This window comes from Homo sapiens, chromosome 2 (assembly GCF_000001405.40).
Source record: "Homo sapiens chromosome 2, GRCh38.p14 Primary Assembly".
NCBI lineage: Eukaryota > Metazoa > Chordata > Mammalia > Primates > Hominidae > Homo > Homo sapiens.
Window position 1 is genome coordinate 1,503,931 of NC_000002.12, and position 21,931 is coordinate 1,525,861.

The following is a 21,931-nucleotide window of genomic DNA, read 5'->3' on the forward strand; positions in this document are numbered from 1 at the left end:
CCTTGTGTGTCTGGCAGATGTGAACGAGTGTGCAGACGGTGCCCACCCCCCCTGCCACGCCTCTGCGAGGTGCAGAAACACCAAAGGCGGCTTCCAGTGTCTCTGCGCGGACCCCTACGAGTTAGGAGACGATGGGAGAACCTGCGTAGGTGAGGCTGTTCCCCTCTCTCTCTGTCCGTCCATTTGCGAGTTTTTGTAAAATGAAGAAAAGTGTGTTCAAGTTAGGCAACTGTCAATCACCATCTTGATTGGGAAGGGCGGAGATGAATAAGACACCAAGCCCACGGTGCCCGAGGGGCGTCTGCGCTGTGCTGGGGGCAGAGGATGCACTTCGTGTGCCTGCTGTCTGCAGAGACCCTCGAAGCACACTGAGGCTGGGGACGGCAGCCAGAATGCATTGCCAGACAAGGCCCACAGGTGTATACCCAGCCTAGATCACACCCCAGACAAAAAACCTATGAAACAGGCAGGATTCATTACAGACCCATCCATCACCTCTCCTCCTCCTGGGACCCCTCCAAATGCACCCGACTGCACCCTGACCAGGGCCAGCAGCACAGCTGCCTGCCTGTTCTCCCACCTCCACCTCCGGATGTCCCCGCCCGGCATGGGGCCTGGGTGCTCAACATCTGCCTCGGATGGCCTTGTCCAGTCCCCCAGCTCTGCACTCAGCTCAGGGACAGCGTCTTCCTCACCGCTGCCTCCAAGCCAGGTGCCAGCTACGCCCAAACTTTTGACGAATTTACTCCCCTGAAAATTGTGGCTCTTAGGTAAGCACTATCTTTAATCTTCATTTTATAGAAGAGGATACTAGTGATAAGAGAGGGCGAGAGACGCTCCTGGTCACACAGCCACTCCGTAGCTGGCCGGGAATTTGTGTTAATAGTCTGGCTTCCAGCTCTTATAGAAAAATAATTATTTACCAGACTCAAGTTACAGACAGACTTCCTTTGAGCTACTGTCATAGGGGAGAGAGGTCTCCAGAAAGAACCAAGTGCAAGGCTCAAATGCAGCAAAGGTAGCTGGGACGTCCAGCCAGGGCGGAGAGGGGTCAGTGCAAAACGCTTCATGACTCAACTGCATTGAGGAGCTTCTGCTAAACTGGAATAATAGGATTCTTGCTGAAACTCAGCTCCTCAGCGAAGGGCACAAGGGCCAGGGTCAAGGCCAGTTATCAAGCAAGTGAGTCTGAAAAGAGATGGCCAGGACGCGGCTGCCCGGGGCCTTCAGAGGCTGGGGAGGCTCTTTCTGGGGCTCTCAAGCTACATCCGCTTGACTGGCACGTCCCCCACTCCTGTGTCAGGCATACACCCCCTTCCTGTGTCAGGCGCACCCCCTCCTGTGTCAGGCGCACCCCACTATCCTATATCAGGCACATCCCACTCTCCTGAGTCAGGCACACCCCACCAGCTTGTGTCAGGCACACACCCCCACCCCCGTGTCAGGCACACCCCACCAGCCTGTGTCAGGCACACTGCCCCATCCTGTGTCACGCACACCCTCCCACCCCCATGTCAGGTGCACCCCTCTTCCTGTGTCAGGCGCATCCCCCCCACCCCGTGTCAGGCACACCCCCACCACCATCCTGTGTCAAGCACAACCCCCCTCCTGTGTCAGGTACAGCCCCCAACCCCCATGTCAGGCACACCCCCACTCCTTTTGTTGTTGTTGTTGTTTGTTTTTATTTCTTCTAAAAAAAAAGTGATAAATGATGTGAAGAACATGCAGGTTTGTTACATAGGTATACGTGTGCCATGGTGGTTTGCTGCACCTATTGACCCATCCTCTAAGTTCCTCCCCTCATCCTCCACCCCTCAACAGGCCCCAGTGTGTGCTGTTCTCCTTTCTGTGTCCATGCAAAGGAACCATTTGTTTACTTAGGGGTTGCGGAGAAATTCTTGTGGCTTTCTTTTTGGCAGTTTTTTTTTTTTTAGTTTTATTATTATTATACTTTAAGTTTTAGGGTACATGTGCACAACGTGCAGGTTTGTTACATATGTATACATGTGCCATGTTGGTGTGCTGCACCCATTAACTCGTCATTTAACATTTGGTATATCTCCTAATTTAACATTTGGTATATCTCCTAATGCTATCCTTCCCCCCTCCCCCAACCCCACAACAGGCCCTGGTGTGTGATGTTCCCCTTCCTGTGTCCATGTGTTCTCATTGTTCAATTCTCACCTATGAGTGAGAACATGCGGTGTTTGGTTTTTTGTCCTTGGGATAGTTTGCTGAGAATGATGGTTTCCAGTTTCATCCATGTCCCTACAAAGGACATGAACTCATCATTTATGGCTGCATAGTATTCTATGGTATATATGTGCCACATTTTCTTAATCCAGTCTATCATTGTTGGACATTTGGGTTGGTTCCAAGTCTTTGCTATTGTGAATAGTGCTGCAATAAACATATGTGTGCATGTGTCTTTATAGCAGCATGATTTATAGTCCTTTGGGTGTATACCCAGTAATGGGATTGCTGGGTCAAATGGTATTTCTAGTTCTAGATCCCTGAGGAATCGCCACACTGCCTTCCACAATGGTTGAACTAGTTTACAGTCCCACCAACAGTGTAAAAGTGTTCCTATTTCTTCACATCCTCTCCAGCACCTGTTGTTTCCTGACTTTTTAATGATTGTCATTCCAACTGGTGTGAGATGGTATCTCATTGTGGTTTTGATTTGCATTTCTCTGATGGCCAGTGATGGTGAGCATTTTTTCATGTGTTTTTTGGCTGCATAAATGTCTTCTTTTGAGAAGTGTCTGTTCATATCCTTCACCCGCTTTTTGATGGGGTTGTTTGTTTTTTTCTTGTAAATTTGTTTGAGTTCATTGTAGATTCTGGATATTAGCCCTTTGTCAAATGAGTAGGTTGCAAAAATTTTCTCCCATTCTGTAGGTTGCCTGTTCAGTCTGATAGTAGTTTCTTTTGCTGTGCAGAAGCTCTTTAGTTTAATTAGATCCCATTTGTCAATTTTGGCTTTTGTTGCCATTGCTTTTGGTGTTTTAGACATGAAGTCCTTGCCCATGCCTATGTCCTGAATGGTATTGCCTAGGTTTTCTTCTAGGGTTTTTATGGTTTTAGGTCTAACATGTAAGTCTTTAATCCATCTTGAATTAATTTTTGTATAAGGTGTAAGGAAGGGATCCAGTTTCAGCTTTCTACATATGGCTAGCCAGTTTTCCCAGCACCATTTATTAAATAGGGAATCATTTCCCCATTGTTGTTTTTGTCAGGTTTGTCAAAGATCAGATAGTTGTAGATATGTGGCATTATTACTGAGGGCTCTGTTCTGTTCCATTGGTCTATATCTCTGTTTTGGTACCAGTACCATGCTGTTTTGGTTACTGTAGCCTTGTAGTATAGTTTGAAGTCAGGTAGTGTGGTGCCTCCCACTTTGTTCTTTTGGCTTAGGATTGACTTGGCAATGTGGGCTCTTTTTTGGTTCCATATGAACTTTAAAGTAGTTTTTTCCAATTCTGTGAAGAAAGTCATTGGTAGCTTGATGGGGATGGCATTGAATCTATAAATTACCTTGGGCAGTATGGTCATTTTCACCATATTGATTCTTCCTACCCATGAGCATGGAATGTTCTTCCATTTGTTTGTATCCTCTTTTATTTCATTGAGCAGTGGTTTGTAGTTCTCCTTCAAGAGGTCCTTCACATCCCTTGTAAGTTGGATTCCTAGGTATTTTATTCTCTTTGAAGCAATTGTGAATGGGAGTTCACTCATGATTTGGCTCTCTGTTTGTCTGTTATTGGTGTATAAGAATGCTTGTGATTTTTGTACATTGATTTTGTATCCTGAGACTTTGCTGAAGTTGCTTATCAGCTTAAGGAGATTTTGGGCTGAGATGATGGGGTTTTCTAGATATACAATCATGTCATCTGCAAACAGGGACAATTTGACTTCCTCTTTTCCTAATTGAATACCCTTTATTTCTTTCTCCTGCCTGATTGCCCTGGCCAGAACTTCCAACACTATGTTGAATAGGAGTGGTGAGAGAAGGCATCCCTGTTTTGTGCCAGTTTTCAAAGGGAATGCTTCCAGTTTTTGCCCATTCAGTATGATGTTGGCTGTGGGTTTGTCATAGATAGCTCTTATTATTTTGAGATACTTCCCATCAATACCTAATTTATTGAGAGTTTTTAGCATGAAGGGTTGTTGAATTTTGTCAAAGGCCTTTTCTGCATCTATTGAGATAATCATGTGGTTTTTGTCTTTGATTCTGTTTATATGCTGGATTACATTTATCGATTTGCGTATGTTGAACCAGCCTTGCATCCCAGGGATGAAGCCCACTTGATCATGGTGGATAAGCTTTTTCATTTGCTGCTGGATTCGGTTTGCCAGTATTTTATTGAGGATTTTTGCATCAATGTTCATCAAGGATATTGGTCTAAAATTCTCTTTTTTGGTTGTGTCTCTGCCCGGCTTTGGTATCAGGATGATGCTGGCCTCATAAAATGAGTTAGGGAGGATTCCCGCTTTTTGTATTGATTGGAATAGTTTCAGAAGGAATGGTACCAGCTCCTCCTTGTACCTCTGGTAGAATTCGGCTGTGAATCCATCTGGTCCTGGACTTTTTTTGGTTGGTAAGCTATTGATTATTGCCTCAATTTCAGAGCCTGTTATTGGTCTATTCAGAGATTCAACTTCTTCCTGGTTTAGTCTTGGGAAGAAGTATGTGTCGAGGAATTTATCCATTTCTTCTAGATTTTCTAGTTTATTTGCGTAGAGGTGTTTATAGTATTCTCTGATGGTAGTTTGTATTTCTTTGGGATCAGTGGTGATATCCCCTTTATCATTTTTTGTTGCGTCTATTTGATTCTTCTCTCTTTTCTTCTTTATTAGTCTTGCTAGCGGTCTATCAATTTTGTTGATCTTTTCAAAAAACCAGCTCCTGGATTCATTAATTTTTTGAAGGGTTTTATGTATCTCTATTTCCTTCAGTTCTGCTCTGATCTTCGTTATTTCTTGCCTTCTGCTAGCTTTTGAATGTGTTTGCTCTTGCTTTTCTAGTTCTTTTAATTGTGATGTTAGGATGTCAATTTTAGATCTTTCCTGCTTTCTCTTGTGGGCATTTAGTGCTATAAATTTCCCTCTACACACTGCTTTGAATGTGTCCCAGAGATTGTGGTATGTTGTGTCTTTGTTCTCGTTCGTTTCAAAGAACATCTTTATTTCTGCCTTCATTTTGTTATGTATCCAGTAGTCATTCAGGAGCAGGTTGTTCAGTTTCCATGTAGTTGAGCGGTTTTGAGTGAGTTTCTGAATCCTGAGTTCTAGTTTGATTGCACTGTGGTCGGAGAGACGGTTTGTTATTTCTGTTCTTTTACATCTGCTGAGGAGAGGCACACCCCCACTCCTGTGTCAGGCACACCCGCCCTCTTCTTTCAGGGACACCACACCCTCTTGTATCGGGCACAGGATACCCTCTTCTTTCAGGGACAGCACAGCCTCTTGTTTCAGGGACACCACACCCTCTTGTTTCAGGGACACCACATCCTCCTGTTTCAGGCACAGGATACCCTCTTGTTTGAGGGACACCCCACCCTCTTGTTTCTGGGAAACCACAACCTCTTGTTTCAGGCACAGGATACCCTCTTGTTTCAGGGACACCCCACCCTCTTCTTTCGGGGATACCCCATCCTCTTGTTTCAGGCACAGGATACCCTCCTGTGTCAGGCACACCCCACCCTCTTCTTTCAGGCACACCCCACCCTCTTGTTTAGGGCAAACCACACTCTCTGGTTTCAGGCACACCCCCCTTCTTCTGTCAGGCACAGCCCACCCTCTTGTTTCAGGGACACCCCACCCCCTTCTTTCAGGGACACCCTACCCTTTTGTTTCAGGGACACCGCACCTCTTATTTCAGGAACAGGACACCCTCTTGTTTCAGGCACACACACCCTCTTGCTTCAGGCACACCCCACTCTCTTGTTTCTGGGAAACCACACCCTCTTGTTTCAGGGACACCCCACCCTGTTGTTTCAGGCACACCCCCCCTCTTCTTTCAGGCACAGGATACCCTCTCGTTTCAGGGACACCACACCCTCTTGTTTCAGGTGTCCTCTCTCTGCACAGCATTTCCCCCTCACACTCATTGTTTTATCAGCCTCTGGTTTTATTCATGTTTTTTCTCCATATGAAATAGTATCCTCTCTTCCTTTCAAACCAGAGCACTCTCAATCATGGAAAATTAGAAACAGCAGCTCTTGCATTCAGATTTTTAAATAAAATGTTTAAATCAATGGTTCAGATGTGAATTGCAAAGGTAGCCAGGTAGCGAAGCTGCCACATTCACAGAGAGGAGCTCAGCTGCTTTCCGCATTATTATTACAAACCTAAGAAAGCGGATTCAGAACCCTGCTCAGGTGAAGGCAGTGGGGCATTTACGTCAAGACTGCAGTTTTGCTGGACTACAGCCCAGAAGCACTTGCTGTATTTTTGATAATATCTAACCCTGTCAGATGGCTCCATGGGGCCCCAGGAAACACTTCTACTGCTGTACTCCAGCTGAAGCCACCACCCTCCATCCCTCCCAATGTTTTCTTCTGGACTCACCCACAGAAAGAAGGAGAAAGGAGTCCCAGTGGAGGTCAGGAACAGCCCTGGGAGAGCACCCAGAGATGAATTCGTGCCTAAGAGGGCTCACCCACTACGTCTCTTCCTCCTCCCGGAGAGCACCCAAAGATGTGTTGGTGCCTAAGAGAACTTGCCCACTACCTCTCTTCCTCCTGGGCCCCCTTTGAATGCCTGCACCGTGACCGGGGCCAGGAGCACATGAGCCTAAGACCATTCTGTGCACCAGGGCCCATGTCTGAGAGATTAATACACAGGTGCCCAGGGCTTCTCCTGTCTCCGTGGTGATTTACAGACTTAGATTTAGATACAGATATTGATTATGGATAGAGACAGTTTAGATATAGGCACAGATGCAGATATATAGATATAGATATAAATTTACATATAGGTATAAAAGAATAGATTTAGATTTCGGTACAACTCTCCCTATATAAGTTTAGACGTAGATACACATATAGATTCAGGCATCGATATAAAAGAATAGATTTAGATTTCGGTACAGCTCTCCCTACATAAGTTTAGATGTAGATACACATATAGATTCAGGCGCTGATATAATTATAGAGGGAGCTCTGCTTTTGCAGTGTTTTGTTCCTAACGTTGCGGTTAAAGGAACTGTATTCATTTCCTGGGGGTGCCACAGCACAGCCCTGCAGACTGGGGGTGCCACAGCACAGCCCTGCAGACTGGGGGTGCCACAGCAAAGCCCTGCAGACTGGGGGTGCCACAGCGCAGCCCTGCAGACTGGGGGTGCCACAGCGCAGCCCTGCAGACTGGGGGTGCCACAGCGCAGCCCTGCAGACTGGGGGTGCCACAGCGCAGCCCTGCAGACTGGGGGTGCCACAGCGCAGCCCTGCAGACTGGGGGTGCCACAGCGCAGCCCTGCAGACTGGGGGTGCCACAGCGCAGCCCTGCAGACTGGGGGTGCCACAGCGCAGCCCTGCAGACTGGGGGTGCCACAGCGCAGCCCTGCAGACTGGGGGTGCCACAGCGCAGCCCTGCAGACTGGGCACTTGAACAAGAGATTTCTCTCTCAGCAAGTCCTGGAGGCTGGAGTCCAAGATCAAGGGGAGGGCACGGTTGGCTCCCCCTGAGGACTCACCCCTTGGCTGCAGATACCACCTTCTCCCCATGTCCTCCCAGGGCAGTCCCTCTGTGTGTCCATGGCCTCATCTCCTCATCTCATAAGGACATAGCTGCCTTGGGCCACGGCCCACAGTGACATCCCCATGCCACTGCAATTACCTCCTCAAATGCTCCATCCCCAAATCAGCCACATTCTGAGGCCCAGGGTGTTGGGGATTCAGCATGAGAATCTGGGAGACCCGGTTCAGCCCACGACAGCCAATTGGTCCATAGTGCCATCTTTTAATCTTCAGAATAAAACTTTAGAAGAAGTGTATACAACAGGAGCATGAGTTGCATAAACTAATTTCCAATATTTTGTTTCAAACGTCTTGTTTTAGTTTTTGTCCTGAGAACAATTACAACATACATTTATCTATTTCCTGCATCTTTTTTTTTTTTGAGACGGAGTCTCGCTCTGTCGCCTAGACTGGAGTGCAGTGGCGCGATCTCAGCCCACTGCAAGCTCCACCTCCCGGGTTCACGCCATTCTCCTGCCTCAGCCTCCCGAGTAGCTGGGACTACAGGCGCCCGCCACCACGCCCGGCTAATTTTTGTTTTTGTATTTTTAGTAGAGACGGGGTTTCACCATGTTAGCCAGGATGTATTTCCTACATCTTAAGGACTCTTTTCTATAAACGCTGAAGCCAAATGTGTCTCTAGAGTTGAGACGTTCCCTCCCAGTGCTACCTCTTTGCTAAGGAATCCTCCTGCCTGGACACTGTCCATCTGCCTCTCCAGATCCTGCCCCCGCCAAGGGCGTCCGAGAGAGCCCCTGAGCCCGGCCCGGACCAGCGCCCGTGCTCAGGGCAGCTGTGCGCTCCGCGCTGCCTTCTGGTTCTGTGTGATGGATGTGATGCTTGCATGGTGCTGTCCCTGCCCCGCTCCGCCCCTGCTGGGCTCCTGGCTGCCGAACCTGAAGTCAGGGTCCGCCGCAGAACACGTCTTCCCGCTGAGCCCTGCAGCCCCTCAAGCAGCTGGCTGCCTCCGAGGAGCTTCCTCTCCGACAGCTGCCGTGTACCTCCCTGACCTCCCTGGCTGTGACTCAGGCCCTCCGGAGGCACTGGGCCAGGCCGCCGGTGGAGCCTGATGGTGGACGATGGTGGACAGTGACCTTCTCCTTCTAAGGAAGGGACTGAGGGAGGGAAAGTGCCCCCAGAGCATCTCAGGAGCTGGGAGGTGAACAGCTGGGGATGCTGGCTTCAGTGCTTCCCCCACCACCAGCACCCTTATGATTATACTGCTGCCCCTGCAAAAATGACCATGGAAAATTAGGATGCTGGGCATGACCTTTCTGCATCCCTGACGCACAAGCCTAACTGTTGTTGCACGGAGGCCACACACGTCCCTGATGAAAGAGCCCTGCTCCCGTGCAAGCAGCCGTCAGTGCCCTCTCCGTACAGATGGCGCAGCCATCAGTGCCCTCTCTGTACAGACGGAGCAGGCCAGCAGGACCCAGCACTGTCCCTGGATGCACCAGCTCTGTCACTGCTGGCTGGAACACCCAAAAGGGTGATGGACATGGCTGTCCCTCAGTTTTCAGAATGACAGCGTGAAACCCAAGCCTGCCTGCATGAGGAAGGGTGGACACAGACAGCAGCAGAGGCCTCGGCTGAGTGGACATGCGCTCAGGTGCTGAGGGCTGAGAGTGACCCAGGAGCAACAGCTGAGCCATATTTACAGCCCCTCCTACGAGCCCTGGCTGGAGGCCAGAGGTTCCAGGGAAGGTGGGCACCAGGGCCCATGTCTGAGAGATTCATAAACAGGTGCCACGGCTTCTCCTTCCGTCCTCACAGTGACTCACAGACAAGGATGCCAAGGCCTGGAAGATGAGGCATGGCTGTGAGAGGAGCTCACACTCCCCTGGCCTGCGAGAGCTCTGGCCCCGGCCAGCCCGTGTGCTGATCGTATTAGACGGAGTCTCCAGAGAAACAGGAGCAATCAGAGATGCAGATGTATGTATAGAAATAGTTATAGATTAGAGACATCCATAGAGACACAGTTTGTAGATGTAGTTACGTAGATTTAGATATAGATATCGATTTAAATATGGATATATGTAGATATACTATATATAGATTTACATAGATTGAACATAGATATAGATAACAAATATGTAGACATAGATATAGTTATACTGATTTAGATATAGATACTGATTGTGGGTATATATAGTTTTAGGTACAGATGCAGATATAAAAATATAGATATAAATTTACACATAGGTATAGAATAGATTTAGGTGTAGCTATACCTATGTAAGTTTAGATATAGACACAATATAGATTTTGGTATAGATGTAAATATAGAGGTAGTTACCCATACATAGACATAGTTTTACATGTGCTTCTAGCTCTATGTACCGATATGTGAAAGCATCTCTATTCTGCAGAATTGGTCATGAAATTAGAGAGGCTGAGGAGTCCCAGGATCTGCTGTCTGCAAACTGGAGCCCCAGGGGAGCTGGCGGGGCAGTTCCAGTCTGAGGGCAGGTGAAGCTGCAATGAGATGTCCCAGCTCAAGCAGAGAGTCAGGAAAAGAGAAGTGAAGCCCTTTTTCCTCCACTTCCTGCTCTACTGGGGCCCTGGAAGGATGGGACAGGGCCCACCCATGTTGGGGAGAGCCGTCTGCTTTTCTCAGACCACAGATTCCAATGCTGATCCCTTCCAGGACCCAACTCAAAAACACAGTGGGAATAATGTCTAATCTGGGCGCCTGTGCTCCAGTCAAGCGGACACATAAAATTAACCATCCCAGTCATGTTATTCTGACCTGAATTCTCCAAAATCCCAGTGCCCTCTGTCTGCCCAGGGCCTGCCCAAACCCGATGCCGTTTCTTTCCAAAGGCCCTCGTTGGCCTTCACCCAGCCTCAGGGACTCCCCCTTGCCCAGCCCCACCAGAGGGGCACCCACGCCCACAGCAGAGAACTCCAGGGCTCCCCGGGGTGGCACTGAAGAGGTCGGAAAGCCACTCCGGCAGCAGCCGTGACCTTTGTGATGCCCCCGTAGGACATGCAGGGGCTTCAGGACCTGTCTCAGCTGGGTATCTCCCAGAAGCACACAGCCTTCAATCTGGTTCCAAGCGGATTTACTGGCTCTTGAAATTGAAAATGCCAAGAAACAAAAATTTGGAGCAAAGAATAAAGGAAAGTTTCTGCTGTGCGGCATCTGGCCTTCCCCCTGCCCAGGCTCGTTTCACACTTTTGGGTAAACATGGAGCTGCTTACGTCCCTGCTGTGGGTCTGCCGTTTGCTGGTGTGAGGTGGGCTTCAATCAGATGCTCGCCACGGCCCAGGACGTGGCTCCTCCTCTCACTCAAGGCTCTGATGTCAGATGCCTGGCTTTGCTGGTTTTTGAAGTTCCACAGGTGGCCCCTCCAGCCCAAGTTTCTCAGAACCAAATCCAGCCGGAAATGTCAAACACCAATTCCAGAATGAATTTCCACGGCTGCCCTGTCCTGACTGCCCTGACCTGGCCTGTGCTTACCTGGAATTCCCACCCAGGCCTCGATCAGCTCAGCCTTCCCCGCACCCCCAGCCCCAGGCACACAGGCGGAGCCCCCACCTCTAGCAGCCATGGGGGTGAGAGCGAGTAGCAGCAGATGGAAACAAGAACCCAGCCTCTTTCTGGATGCAGGAGGAGCGGCATCCCAGGGCCAGCAAGCAGCTCTGCTCCCCATGGGCTTTTAGCAAGAGGCTGGTGTGCTCAGGTTGCCCTGCAGACTCCCCTGCGTCTGTGAAAGGTGGCAGGAAGGAGATCCTGGAGGCGGGAGGATGGTTAGAGGAGCCCAGGAGGAAAAGTCATGAGGTGCAAAGGCTAAGAGGACAGGATCGTTTTGGAGAAACAGTCAGGATGCGCATTTAGGGTTTATTCATTCATTCTTGTATCCAACAAATGCTTGCTGAGTGTCCAAGACCCATGCGAGGAAGACAGCCACGGACACCACCTGTGTCTGGGCTGGGAAAGACCCATGATAGGAAGACAGCCATGGACACGACCTGTGTCCGGGCTGCAAATGAGACACACCTGCAAATCATGCCCAGGTGCTAAGTGGCACAGGGAACCGCAGTCACCCACAGACGCATTCATCACCGACTTTAAAAAATCCAGTGTGAGAAATAGAACCAAACCAAGCACCCATTCCCCCAGCCGCTGCCTCTGTCTGGTACCTGAATGTGCTCTCTTAGCCCCAGAGCCTATCTTCAACCACACGTGATGATGTTTATCCAGGGCGACCCATGTTTGTTTAAAAAAAAAACGCTGATTGGTAGTATTTAAATTCTTATTTAAAAGTCAGTTTTCGTTTCATCTTGGATTTCTCCTCGGCCACCTCGAATGGGTATCCAAACAGAAAAGTCGGTAATAAAACTGTGGTCAAAGGAGCTCTGAGTTCAGAGCCGCAGTGGCCCCAGGCTGGCAGCTCCTTGCAGAAAGCACAGAAGCCAAGGGCTGGAGCCCAGGAGCCGTTACTCAGTCCCCGGCTTTTTCAGATGAAGACACAGGTCCAGGTGGGAGGCACTTCCTCAGGCCCCTCACCAGATGCTCTGGGGCCGGCTCCTGGGCTGCCTCTCTCCTCTGTCCCATCAGGCCTGCACTTCTCTGTCTGATTCCCACCAACCTTGTTCGGTTTCTTTCTGGAATTGGCTGATGAGACCCAGGATGAGCTCCAAAATCTGCTGCCATCCCGTGCCCCCGTCCCCCCAGGGCTCCAGCTCTGCAAGGTGCTGTCCACCTTCCTTCAACCACGGTTTCACCTCCAGGAGGCTTCTGGGAAAGATAAAATGCAGCCAAGGGCAAAACCTCACAGCGTTATACCGCGTCCCTTACAGCCCACCTTGCGAACCTTTCCCGCCCCGGTCCGAGGCCTCCAGGGCTCCCTGGGTCCTGTGGTCCACTCCGAGGGCACTGAGAGCCCTCCCTGGTTTGGGCAGCAAGGTGTGCTTTCTGTCCTGCAGGACGCGTCCATGCCGAACCCACAGTGAGGTTCCATAGAGAGAGCTAACTTCTCTGCCCTGTGTCCCCTGCTGGCTCTCCCCACACACGTCACATTCGGATCTGGACTTAGTGGTCTAAATGGCTTTTCTGGGCAGATAAATGTCCCTCCCTCCCTGCGTCATGCTGTGGGGTGAAGGCCACTGGCCCAGGACAGGGTATGGCCCAGACTCAGGCAGGACAACCTGGCTTGCCCAGGCCCTGGAAGGTTCTTCTAACCAGGCCTCTTTCTGTGCCCCAGACTCCGGGAGGCTCCCTCGGGTGACTTGGATCTCCATGTCGCTGGCTGCTCTGCTGATCGGAGGCTTCGCAGGTCTCACCTCGACGGTGATTTGCAGGTGGTAAGTCCTTCACTTTTTGACTGTTACTTAGACACAAAGCAATCTCCTTTCCTCTGGACATGGCTGCAATGAAGCTGCTTTATTTTCCCGAAGCTAACACAGGTTACTGGTATCTCAAAGGCATTGATCTCAGAGCTATTTTGTACAACGTAATAGACTCTCCGGATCTTTCATTATGCTTTAAATAATGAAAGTGGAGTGATCATTTGTACACCTTAGGTGGTGTCAGGTATCTGTGGACGAACATTCAGCAATATGGAACACTTTTCTAACACTAAATGATTGCATTGAAGTAGTCTCTTGTTAGGAGTAAAGATTCTTACAAAGGTTTCTCAGAGAAAAAAGGTCATCCATGAATAAAAAGTTTTATTCTTCAGTTTTATTCCCTCCCTTGAGGGCAGAAATTGGAAGTTGAACTTTCATGTTAAAAATGGCGCTGCTGTTGAAAGACTCAGACCCGCACCTGAGAGGCCCTGCCCTGTGAGAGTGCTCTCTGCAGAAAGAGCCCCTCGAGGCTTCCTCAGGTGCGGCAGCTGGTCCATGTCCCTAGCCCTGAGGAACCGGCTCTGTTCCTTGCTGCTGCCTCTCACCTTGCTGCTGCCTCTCACCTTGCTGCTGCCTCTCACCTTGCTGCTGCCTCTCACCTTGCTGCTGCCTCTCACCTTGCTGCTGCCTCTCACCTTGCTGCTGCCTCTCACCTTGCTGCTGCCTCTCACCTTGCTGCTGCCTCTCACCTTGCTGCTGCCTCTCACCTTGCTGCTCTTGAGCACCAAACTCCTTGAGCATCCCTTCCATTTTTAATGCACAATTGTTCATTTTATATAGACAGTATTAAAAATAACAGCAAACACTATAAGAAGTCATTGCAGGCCCAGGCTGGGCCCCCAGGGCCATGCCCAGGATACCTGCAGATAGAGGCCACAGTTTCTCGGCTTCTGCTCTCCCTGAGTGCCAGGCTCCCCCCCCCAATATGCCCTGTGCACACTCCTGCTGCAGCCAGCCCTGCCCTCTGCCAGGATGACCCCTGCAGTCACCTTCGCCCTCCACCCCGGCCTTCAGAGCTCCTCACTGGCGGAGCCCCCAGCACCACCCCATACCACACATGTATGGATTATCCAAGCCTCCCAGCCTCACCCGATACCACATATCTATGGATTATCCAGGACTTTCCCACTCTAAGGCCATCTTCCAGGGTGTTTCTCATCTTCCCAATAATAGAAACTCAACATTCTAGCAAACTTCATTTTTCTAGCAACTTCTCAGTACACTGAGGAACATCTGCCCCTTGAACAGGAAATCTTTTTCTTACAGTCTTTGCACCTCCTACAGGAACTGGTTTTTAAAAACTTGAAAGCTTAGCAACCAGATGTTACCCATGATCTTTATCGTTTCCAAAGGGCCTTGTCAAGAATCCACAGTTAATGGACTCTTTTCTGTTGTTTTTATTTTTGTGATCACTTGTAAGGGAAGACTCTGTACCTGCCATCTGCTCTGCATCCTGTCTCTCTGGGGCTGAGATATGGTAGTAAAGCCAGTTCCCCATTTCAGTTATTCTGCAAGGCCTCTGACAACTGCTGTGGTTGACCCAGATGCCTGCATTTGATGCATGAGCTTATGATCTATCCGGCATATGATATTTCAGTGACGTATTTCTGAGTAGCTTCATAGCTTCTAACAAAACTAACATACACCATAATTCAGACAACTGTGAGAAATTCCTTCCAGTAGAGAGGTGATAGTAATGGCTAAAGCCATGTGTCAGATGTAATGCTAAGTCATCCTTAGCCACTGTCTCCTCTGATTTTCTGATCAATCATCTGACTCAGGTGCTTGCCATGGCTTGAACTGTGCATTGCCCAGAACATATGTTTATATCCTGACCTTTAGGACCTCAGAACGTAACCTTATTTGGAACTAAGGTCTCTGCAGGTGTAATTAGTTAAAATGAGACTGTCCTGGAGTAGAGGGGCCCCTAATTCAGTATAGCTGGTGTTCCTCTAGAAAGAAGAGTTTGGACAGAGTCATGCTGAGCAGGCGAAGGCCATCTTGACGGGAAGGCAGAGATCAGGGTGGGGTTTCTCTAAGCTGGGGCCTGGGAAGATCGCCAGCAGCCACAGGAACTGGGAGGGAGGCCGGGGGAGCCGCCTGCAGGCACCTTGATGTGGACTCCTGCCTCCAGAGCTCTAGGTCATAAACTGCTGTTTAAGCAGCCAAGTCTGTGGTCCTCTGTGACTGCAGCCCCAGAAAACTTAATGAAGTGCTATGATTGTGTCCATTTTCAGTGTAGCATGTGGAGGTGGAGCGAGAGCCTGTTACTTGCTCAAAGCTGGTAGGCCCAGAGCAGATCCTTGAACCCAAGACCTGTCTGGTGCTGGAGGTCGTGCCACAGCTGCCCTGCTTCTCCTCGCGAGAAGATTATATTCCACATGCCAGGGCTGTTGTTTCAAATAATCATTACCAGTGAAGATTGAATAATCACCTACTCTCTCTACAAGACACTATACTGATCTGTTTTGGAAAGAGAGTACTTTAACCTTTAAATGGTGTCTCTAGTTTTAGATGGGGTGGTGGCAGGAAATATTCCCTATGTTTTATGAATCATTTGGTCTTTAAACCTTAAAAACTTTAATAACTAATAATTAAAACCCTCAGCTAACCATGAAATAGACTAAGCAATAAAAATTGAATAGGCTGTAAGCAAATAACTTCAAATTAGCTGGTTCTGTAATTAGAACTATGAAATGTATAATTGTAACAAAAACTGATACGACTATAATTTCCTATTCATAAACAATTTTGTATTTGCAAACATCCCTATAAACATCTATCACATTATCATTATAATAAATATTAGTGTCTGTAGCCCACACTCACAAGAAAAATAGCAATTTTCTTTAAGATTGACAGCCATAGATGAAATGAATACCTTTCCAAGGGAACTTGGGAGAGAAATATTTGGCTATAGTTGATTTTAGACTCTGGAGTTCTAAAAATACGCTACCAAGCACCAATTTAGTTTGCAAAATGCCACTTAGCTGAAAGATATGAAAAAGTGGATGTTAATGTGCCATCACACGCTTGAGAACACAGGCAGTTACAGAGTCAGAGACCATAACAGGGAAGACCCTGGGGCTCCAGGGCAGAAACATCCTGGACCAAAACCACAGCACCCCCAGACCTGTGATTAGGTGAGCTCAGAAGGTCAAGTCACTCATTAGGAAATGTCTTCCCACCACCTACCCTGAGACCCCTATTCTGCTCCCAGCAAATGGGCTCAACACAATCCCAGCCTCGCCTCCCTGTGTCTTATTCTTCAGCTTTTAAAAACATGATCTTATTTCCACCTTAGGGCATTATTGTGCGGTGAGGAGTAGGGAGGAGAACAGAGAGGGATAGGAAGAAAGAGAGACAGAGACAGCAGAGAGAGACACGGGAGGGGAGAGAACCCAGCACGGTGTGGCACACAGCAGGTGCTCAGCAAACACGTTTCCTCTCCTAGTGAGACAAAGGTGTTTGCTTCTCTACTCTCCTCGTTTTCTACCCACCCTGCTGTCTGGGGTCTCACACTGTATGTTTTGGTGTGATTGTTATTAATGTGACAAATTGTTGATATATTTTCACTGCAAATCTACGATTCGGAGTTAACTCCATGAAACCAACTCCTCCATCAACTTTCTTGACACTGCATTTAAAATACCTCCACGGTATTATGCTTGTTTTATTGCATTGAAATTGTTTTCACCAAGTTGAATTCTTTCTGTGCAAACTTTTACACTAAAAATTCATTCCTCAAATCAGTTCTTTGGTCCATGTCAGTTTTGCCAATTAGACCTTTCGCCATGGAGGTGTTTTCCTTTGTGTTATGATTTCTTCAGATCCGGCTTTCTTAGCTCAGCATTTTAAACTTAAATTTCATGAAGACTTTGTCTGTCTGTTGATTCTTACTGTCCAGGGAAGATGCTAAATGTGCAGTTCCAGTCCTTTCTCCATTCGCTCTTGTTTTTATTATTTTTACCAATTCTACTTTTCCACCATCACTTAGTTCTGCAATTTCTGAAATACAATTTTTCAGGTTTTCCTTGTCGTTGATAAACGGTGCCCTATACCTTTTTGCTGTTTTCAGTTGTATTTTGTATTGATATTCCTACCTATGGTATGCATTATAAATTCAAGAAAGTTTGAATCATTTGCATTAATTTCCAGCAAATCCATGGGAAAGCCGCGAGGTCCTTCCCTAGGATGCAGCCAGGTTTGTCCTCCGTCCAGGACGTCTAACCCTTTGTTCCCTCCTGCACCTTCCCACGCTGTGAGCTGACGGGTGCTGTTTCTCTAGGCACGTCACGGGGGGTTCCTGCCATCTCTCCTCTCTTTATCATTAGATTCATAAGCGTGCTGGAGGGAGGCCAGCTGGGACTAGGCCGAGGCAGCCATGGGGCAGTGGGCCACGGGATCCCTGTAAGCCATGGGTGACCGGGTGCCCTCTTCCCCCAGGACCCTCCTCCCCAGGGACCCTCCTCCCCCAGGGCCCTCTTTCCCCAGACTCTTGGGGTAGAGACGGCCTGAGTCTCTTGAGATGGAGTCTGAAGCTTCTGGTCATCTGAACTGCATGTTGATGACAGGAATTGTCTTCAGGACGTCATTAGGGAAGTCCGAGAGAACTGGCCCTTTGCTGGGGGACAGACGTAGAGTGGCCAGCCTGGGCTACACAGCATGGGGGATCCGAACCTGTTGTAGTGGAATCCTTCAGAGTCAGTACGGCGTCTGTGAGGCACTCAGGCCCCAGAGGACCTGGGGAAGGACCTGCGCTCCTTAGAGACCCACGTCTGCCCTGGAAATGAGCAGGGGGAGCTGTTCCCAGCCTGGTCACACATGAACCACAGCAAGGACAGCCTCCCACCCCAGTCCCCCCGTGGGTTCAGCTAAACGCATTGTCCAGTTTCCAGCCCAGAACCCAAGCCTGGCTGCCAGGCTCATCTGCTTTCTCTGGGCAGCTCCCAGCCCCTCCCTCTGTGGCCCCACTTTCTTCACCCACTTCTGAGCAAGTATAGGTGGGAAATGTGCCTTCCTCCCTCTCCTGACCCCAGGCTGTCTACTCCACACCGGCCCTGCCACCGTGCCCTGGCAGTCTCTCTACCCGACACCGGCCCTGCCACCGTGCCCTTACAGTCTCTACCCCACACTGGCCCTGCTACCATGCCCTGGCAGTCTCTCTACCCCACACCGGCCCGCCACCGTGCCCTCACAGTCTCTCTACCCCACACCTGCCCGCCACCGTGCCCTCACAGTCTCTCTACCCCACACCGGCCCTGCCACCTTGCCCTCACAGTCTCTCTACCCCACACCTGCCTGCCACCGTGCCCTCACAGACTCTCTACCCCACACCGGCCCGCCACCGTGCCCTCACAGTCTCTCTACCCCACACCTGCCTGCCACCGTGCCCTCGCAGTCTCTCTTCCCCACACCTGCCTGCCACCGTGCCCTCACAGACTCTCTACCCCACACCGGCCCGCCACCGTGCCCTCACAGTCTCTCTGATCTGTCTCCCTCTCCTGCCCCCAGACCATCTACCTCACACAGGCCCTGCCACCGTGTGATGCCCAGCCATTCCCACTTCTTGGCTTTTATTCAAGCCTCAATCTCTCCATAGAATACTCCCTCCTTATCATCTCAACCTGGCTTCGAATGTTCAAGTCTGACACATCGCAAAGGCTACACCCAAACACCACCCACTGTCTGCAACCTCCCCAAACCCCCACTGTATGCAAGGTCCTCAAATCCCCCCACTGTGTGCAACCTCCTCAAATCCCACCACTGTGTGCAACCCCCCAAATCTCCCCCACTGTGAGCAAAACCCCAAATCCCCCCACTGGGTGCAACCTCCTCAAATCCCACCACTGTGTGAAACCTCCTCAAATCCCCCCACTGTGTGCAACTTCCTCAAATCCCCTCCACTCTGTGTAACCTCCCCAAATTCCCCCCACTGTGTGCAACCTCCTCAGATCCCTCCCACGCTGTGCAAACTCCCCAGATCCCCCCAACTCTGTGCAACCTCCCCAAATCTCCCCAACTGTGTGCAACCTCACCAAATCCCGACACTGTGTGCAACCTCCCCAAATCCTGCGCACTCTGTGCAACCTCCCCAAATCCGCCCCACCCTGTGCATCCTCCCAAAATCCCCCACACTGTGTGCAACCTCCTCAAATCCCCCCAACTGTTTGCAACCTCCCAAATCCCCCCACTTTGAGCAACCTCCCCAAATCCCCCCACTGTGTAAAACCTCCCCAAATCCCCCCACTGTGAGCAACCTCCCCAAATCCCCCCACTGTGAGCAACCTCCCCAAATCCCCCCACTGTGTGCAACTTCCCTAAATCCCCCCACTGTGTTCAACCTCCCCAAATACCTCCCATTGTGTGCAAACACCCCAAATCCCTCCCACTCTGTGCAACCTCCCCAAATTACCCCCACTGTGTGCAACCTCCTCAGTTCCCTCCCACTCTATGCAAACTCCCCAAATCCCCCCGACTCTATGCAACCTCCCCAAATCCCCCCCACTCTGAGCAACCTCCCCAAATCCCCACCACTCTGTGCAACCTCCCCAAATCCCCCACACTGTGTGCAAACTCCTCAAATCCCCCTACTGTGAGCAACCTCCTCAAATCACCCCCCACTGTGTTCAACCTCCTCGAATCACCCCACTGTGTGCAGCCTCCCCAAATCCCCCCCACTGTGTGCAACCTCCTCAGGTCCCCCACTGTGTGCAACCCCCCCAAATACCGCCACTGTGTGCAACCTCTTCTAATCCCCTCACTGTGTGCAACCTCCCCAAATCCCCCCACTGTGAGCAAACTCCTCAAATCCCCCCAACTGTGTGTGAGCTCCCCAAATCCCCCCAGTGTGTACAACTTGCTTAAATCCCCCCAACTGTAATCAACCTCCCCAAATCCCCCCTACTGTGTGCAACCTTCCCAAATCCCCCCACTCTGTGCAACTTCCCCAAATCCCCCCTACTCTCTGCAAACTCACCAAATCCCCCCCACTCTGTGCAACCTTCCCAAATCCCCCCCATTGTGGGCAACAACACCAAATCCTGCCACTGTGTGCAACCTCACCAAATTCCCCCCACTCCGTGCAACCTCCCCAAATACCCCCAACTCTGTGCAACCTCCCAAAATCCCCCAAACTGTGTGCAACCTCCTCAAATCCCCATCCTGTGTGCAACCTCCTCAAATCCACCCCACTGTGTGCAACCTCCTCAAATCCCCCCACTGTGTGCAACCTCCTCAAATCTCCTCACAGTGAGCAACCTCCTCAAATCCCCACACTGTGTGCAACCACCCCAAATCCCCCTACTGTAAGCAACCTCCCCAAATCCCTCCACTCTGTTCAACCTCCCCAAATCCCCCCCACTCTGTGCAACCTCCAACTTTCCCTCCCATTGTGTGCAACCCCCCCAAATCCCCCCACTGTGTGCAACCCCCCAAATCCCACCCACTGTGTGCAACCTCCTCAAATCCTCCCACTGTGTGCAGCCTCCCCAAATCCCACCCACTGTGTGCAACCTCAGGTCCCCCACTGTGTGCAACCCCCCCAATCCCCCTACTGTGTGTAACCTCCTCAAATCCGCTCACTGTGTGCAACCTCCTCAAATCCCCCTACTGCCTGCAACCTCCTCAAATCCCCCCACTGTGGGCAACCTCCCCAAATCCCCCCACTGTGTGCAAACTCCCCACATTCCCCCCAGTGTGTGCAACCTTTACAACTCTACTCACTGTGAGCAACCTCCCCAAATCGCCCCACTATGAGCAGCCTCCTCAAATCCCCCAACTGTGTGCCACTTCCCCAAATCCCCACATTCTGAGCAACCTCCCCAAATCCCCCCACTGTGATGTAACCTCCTCAAATTGCCCGCACTGTACAACCTCCTCAAATCTCCCCCGCTGTGTGCAACCTCCTCAAATCCCGACTCTGTGCAACCTCCCCAAATCCCCCCAGTGTGTGCAACCTCCCCAAATCCACCCAACTCTGAGCAACCTCGCCAAATCCCCCAACTCTGTGCAACCTCCCCCTATCCCTCCCACTGTGTGCAACCCCCCCAAATCCCCCTACTGTGTGCAACCTGCTCAAATCCCCAAACTGTGTGCAACCTCCCCAAATCACCCTCACTGTGTGCAACCTCCTCAAGTCCCCCACTGTGTGCAATCCGCCCAAGTCCCCCCACTGTGCAACCTGCTCAAATCCCCTCACTGTGTGCAACCTCCCCAAATCCCTCACACTGGGTGCAACCTCCTCAAATCCCCTACTCTGTGGAACCTCCTCAAATCCCCCCCACTGTGTGCCTCCTCAAATCCCCTCACTATGTGCAACTCCACCAAATCTCCCCCACTGTGAGCAAAACCACAAATCCCCCCAATGTGTGCAACTTCCTCAAATCCCCCCACTGTGTGCAACCTCCCCAAAACCCCCCACTGTTTGCAACACCCCCAAATTTCCCCCACTGTGAGCAAACCCCCAAAACCCCCACTGGGTACAACCTCCTCAAATCCCCCCACTGTGTGTAACCTCCCAAAATCCCCCCACTGTGTGCAAACCCCCCAAATCTCCCTATGACCAAAACCACAAATCCCCCCACTGTGTGCAACCTCCTCAAATCCCCCCAATGTGTGCAAGCCCCAAAATCCCACCCACTATGTGCAACCTCCCCCAAATCCCCCCGACTCTGTGCAAACTCCCCAAATCACCCCCACTCTGCAAACTCCCCAAATCTCACCCCACTGTGGGCAACCACACTAAATCCCGCCACTGTGTGCAACCTCACCAAATTTCCCCGTGTGCAACCTACCCAAATGCCCCCCACTCTGTGCAACCTCCCAAAATCCCC

At 50.3% G+C, this 21,931-nt stretch overlaps 1 protein-coding gene and 1 long non-coding RNA gene across 24 annotated transcripts in view, besides 1 other annotated feature; one reads left to right on the forward strand and one right to left on the reverse strand.

The window, feature by feature from the left end:
* TPO (thyroid peroxidase) overlaps positions 1–21,931 on the forward strand; it is a 169,627-nt gene that overhangs the window by 129,884 nt on the left and 17,812 nt on the right. For 13 of the 21 annotated variants that reach the window (XM_047445652.1, XM_047445655.1, XM_047445654.1 and 10 more), the window contains one exon: positions 12,953–13,052. In XM_047445652.1, the coding sequence (XP_047301608.1) occupies positions 12,953–13,052 (100 nt within the window). Of the gene's footprint in view, positions 1–17; positions 150–12,952; positions 13,053–21,931 lie in introns of all 21 variants that reach the window. The other 8 variants (XM_011510380.4, XM_024453091.2, XM_024453093.2 and 5 more) reach the window with 1 other exon arrangement.
* LALTOP (lung cancer associated lncRNA targeting TOP2A) overlaps positions 1–21,931 on the reverse strand; it is a 140,518-nt gene that overhangs the window by 19,029 nt on the left and 99,558 nt on the right. The window contains exon 6 of one of the 3 annotated variants that reach the window (NR_198950.1): positions 4,814–5,305. The exons of the other annotated variants lie outside the window; for them this stretch is intronic. This is a non-coding gene — a long non-coding RNA (lung cancer associated lncRNA targeting TOP2A). Of the gene's footprint in view, positions 1–4,813; positions 5,306–21,931 lie in introns of those variants that run through there. 3 annotated transcript variants of the gene reach the window in all.
* Positions 12,025–12,526: an enhancer, noted in NCBI's record as "H3K4me1 hESC enhancer chr2:1519727-1520228 (GRCh37/hg19 assembly coordinates)". NCBI's record gives its function as "activates a minimal SCP1, AML or CMV promoter by ChIP-STARR-seq in naive H9 embryonic stem cells {active_cell/tissue: H9 hESC(naive)}" and the evidence as "EXISTENCE:reporter gene assay evidence [ECO:0000049][PMID:30033119]".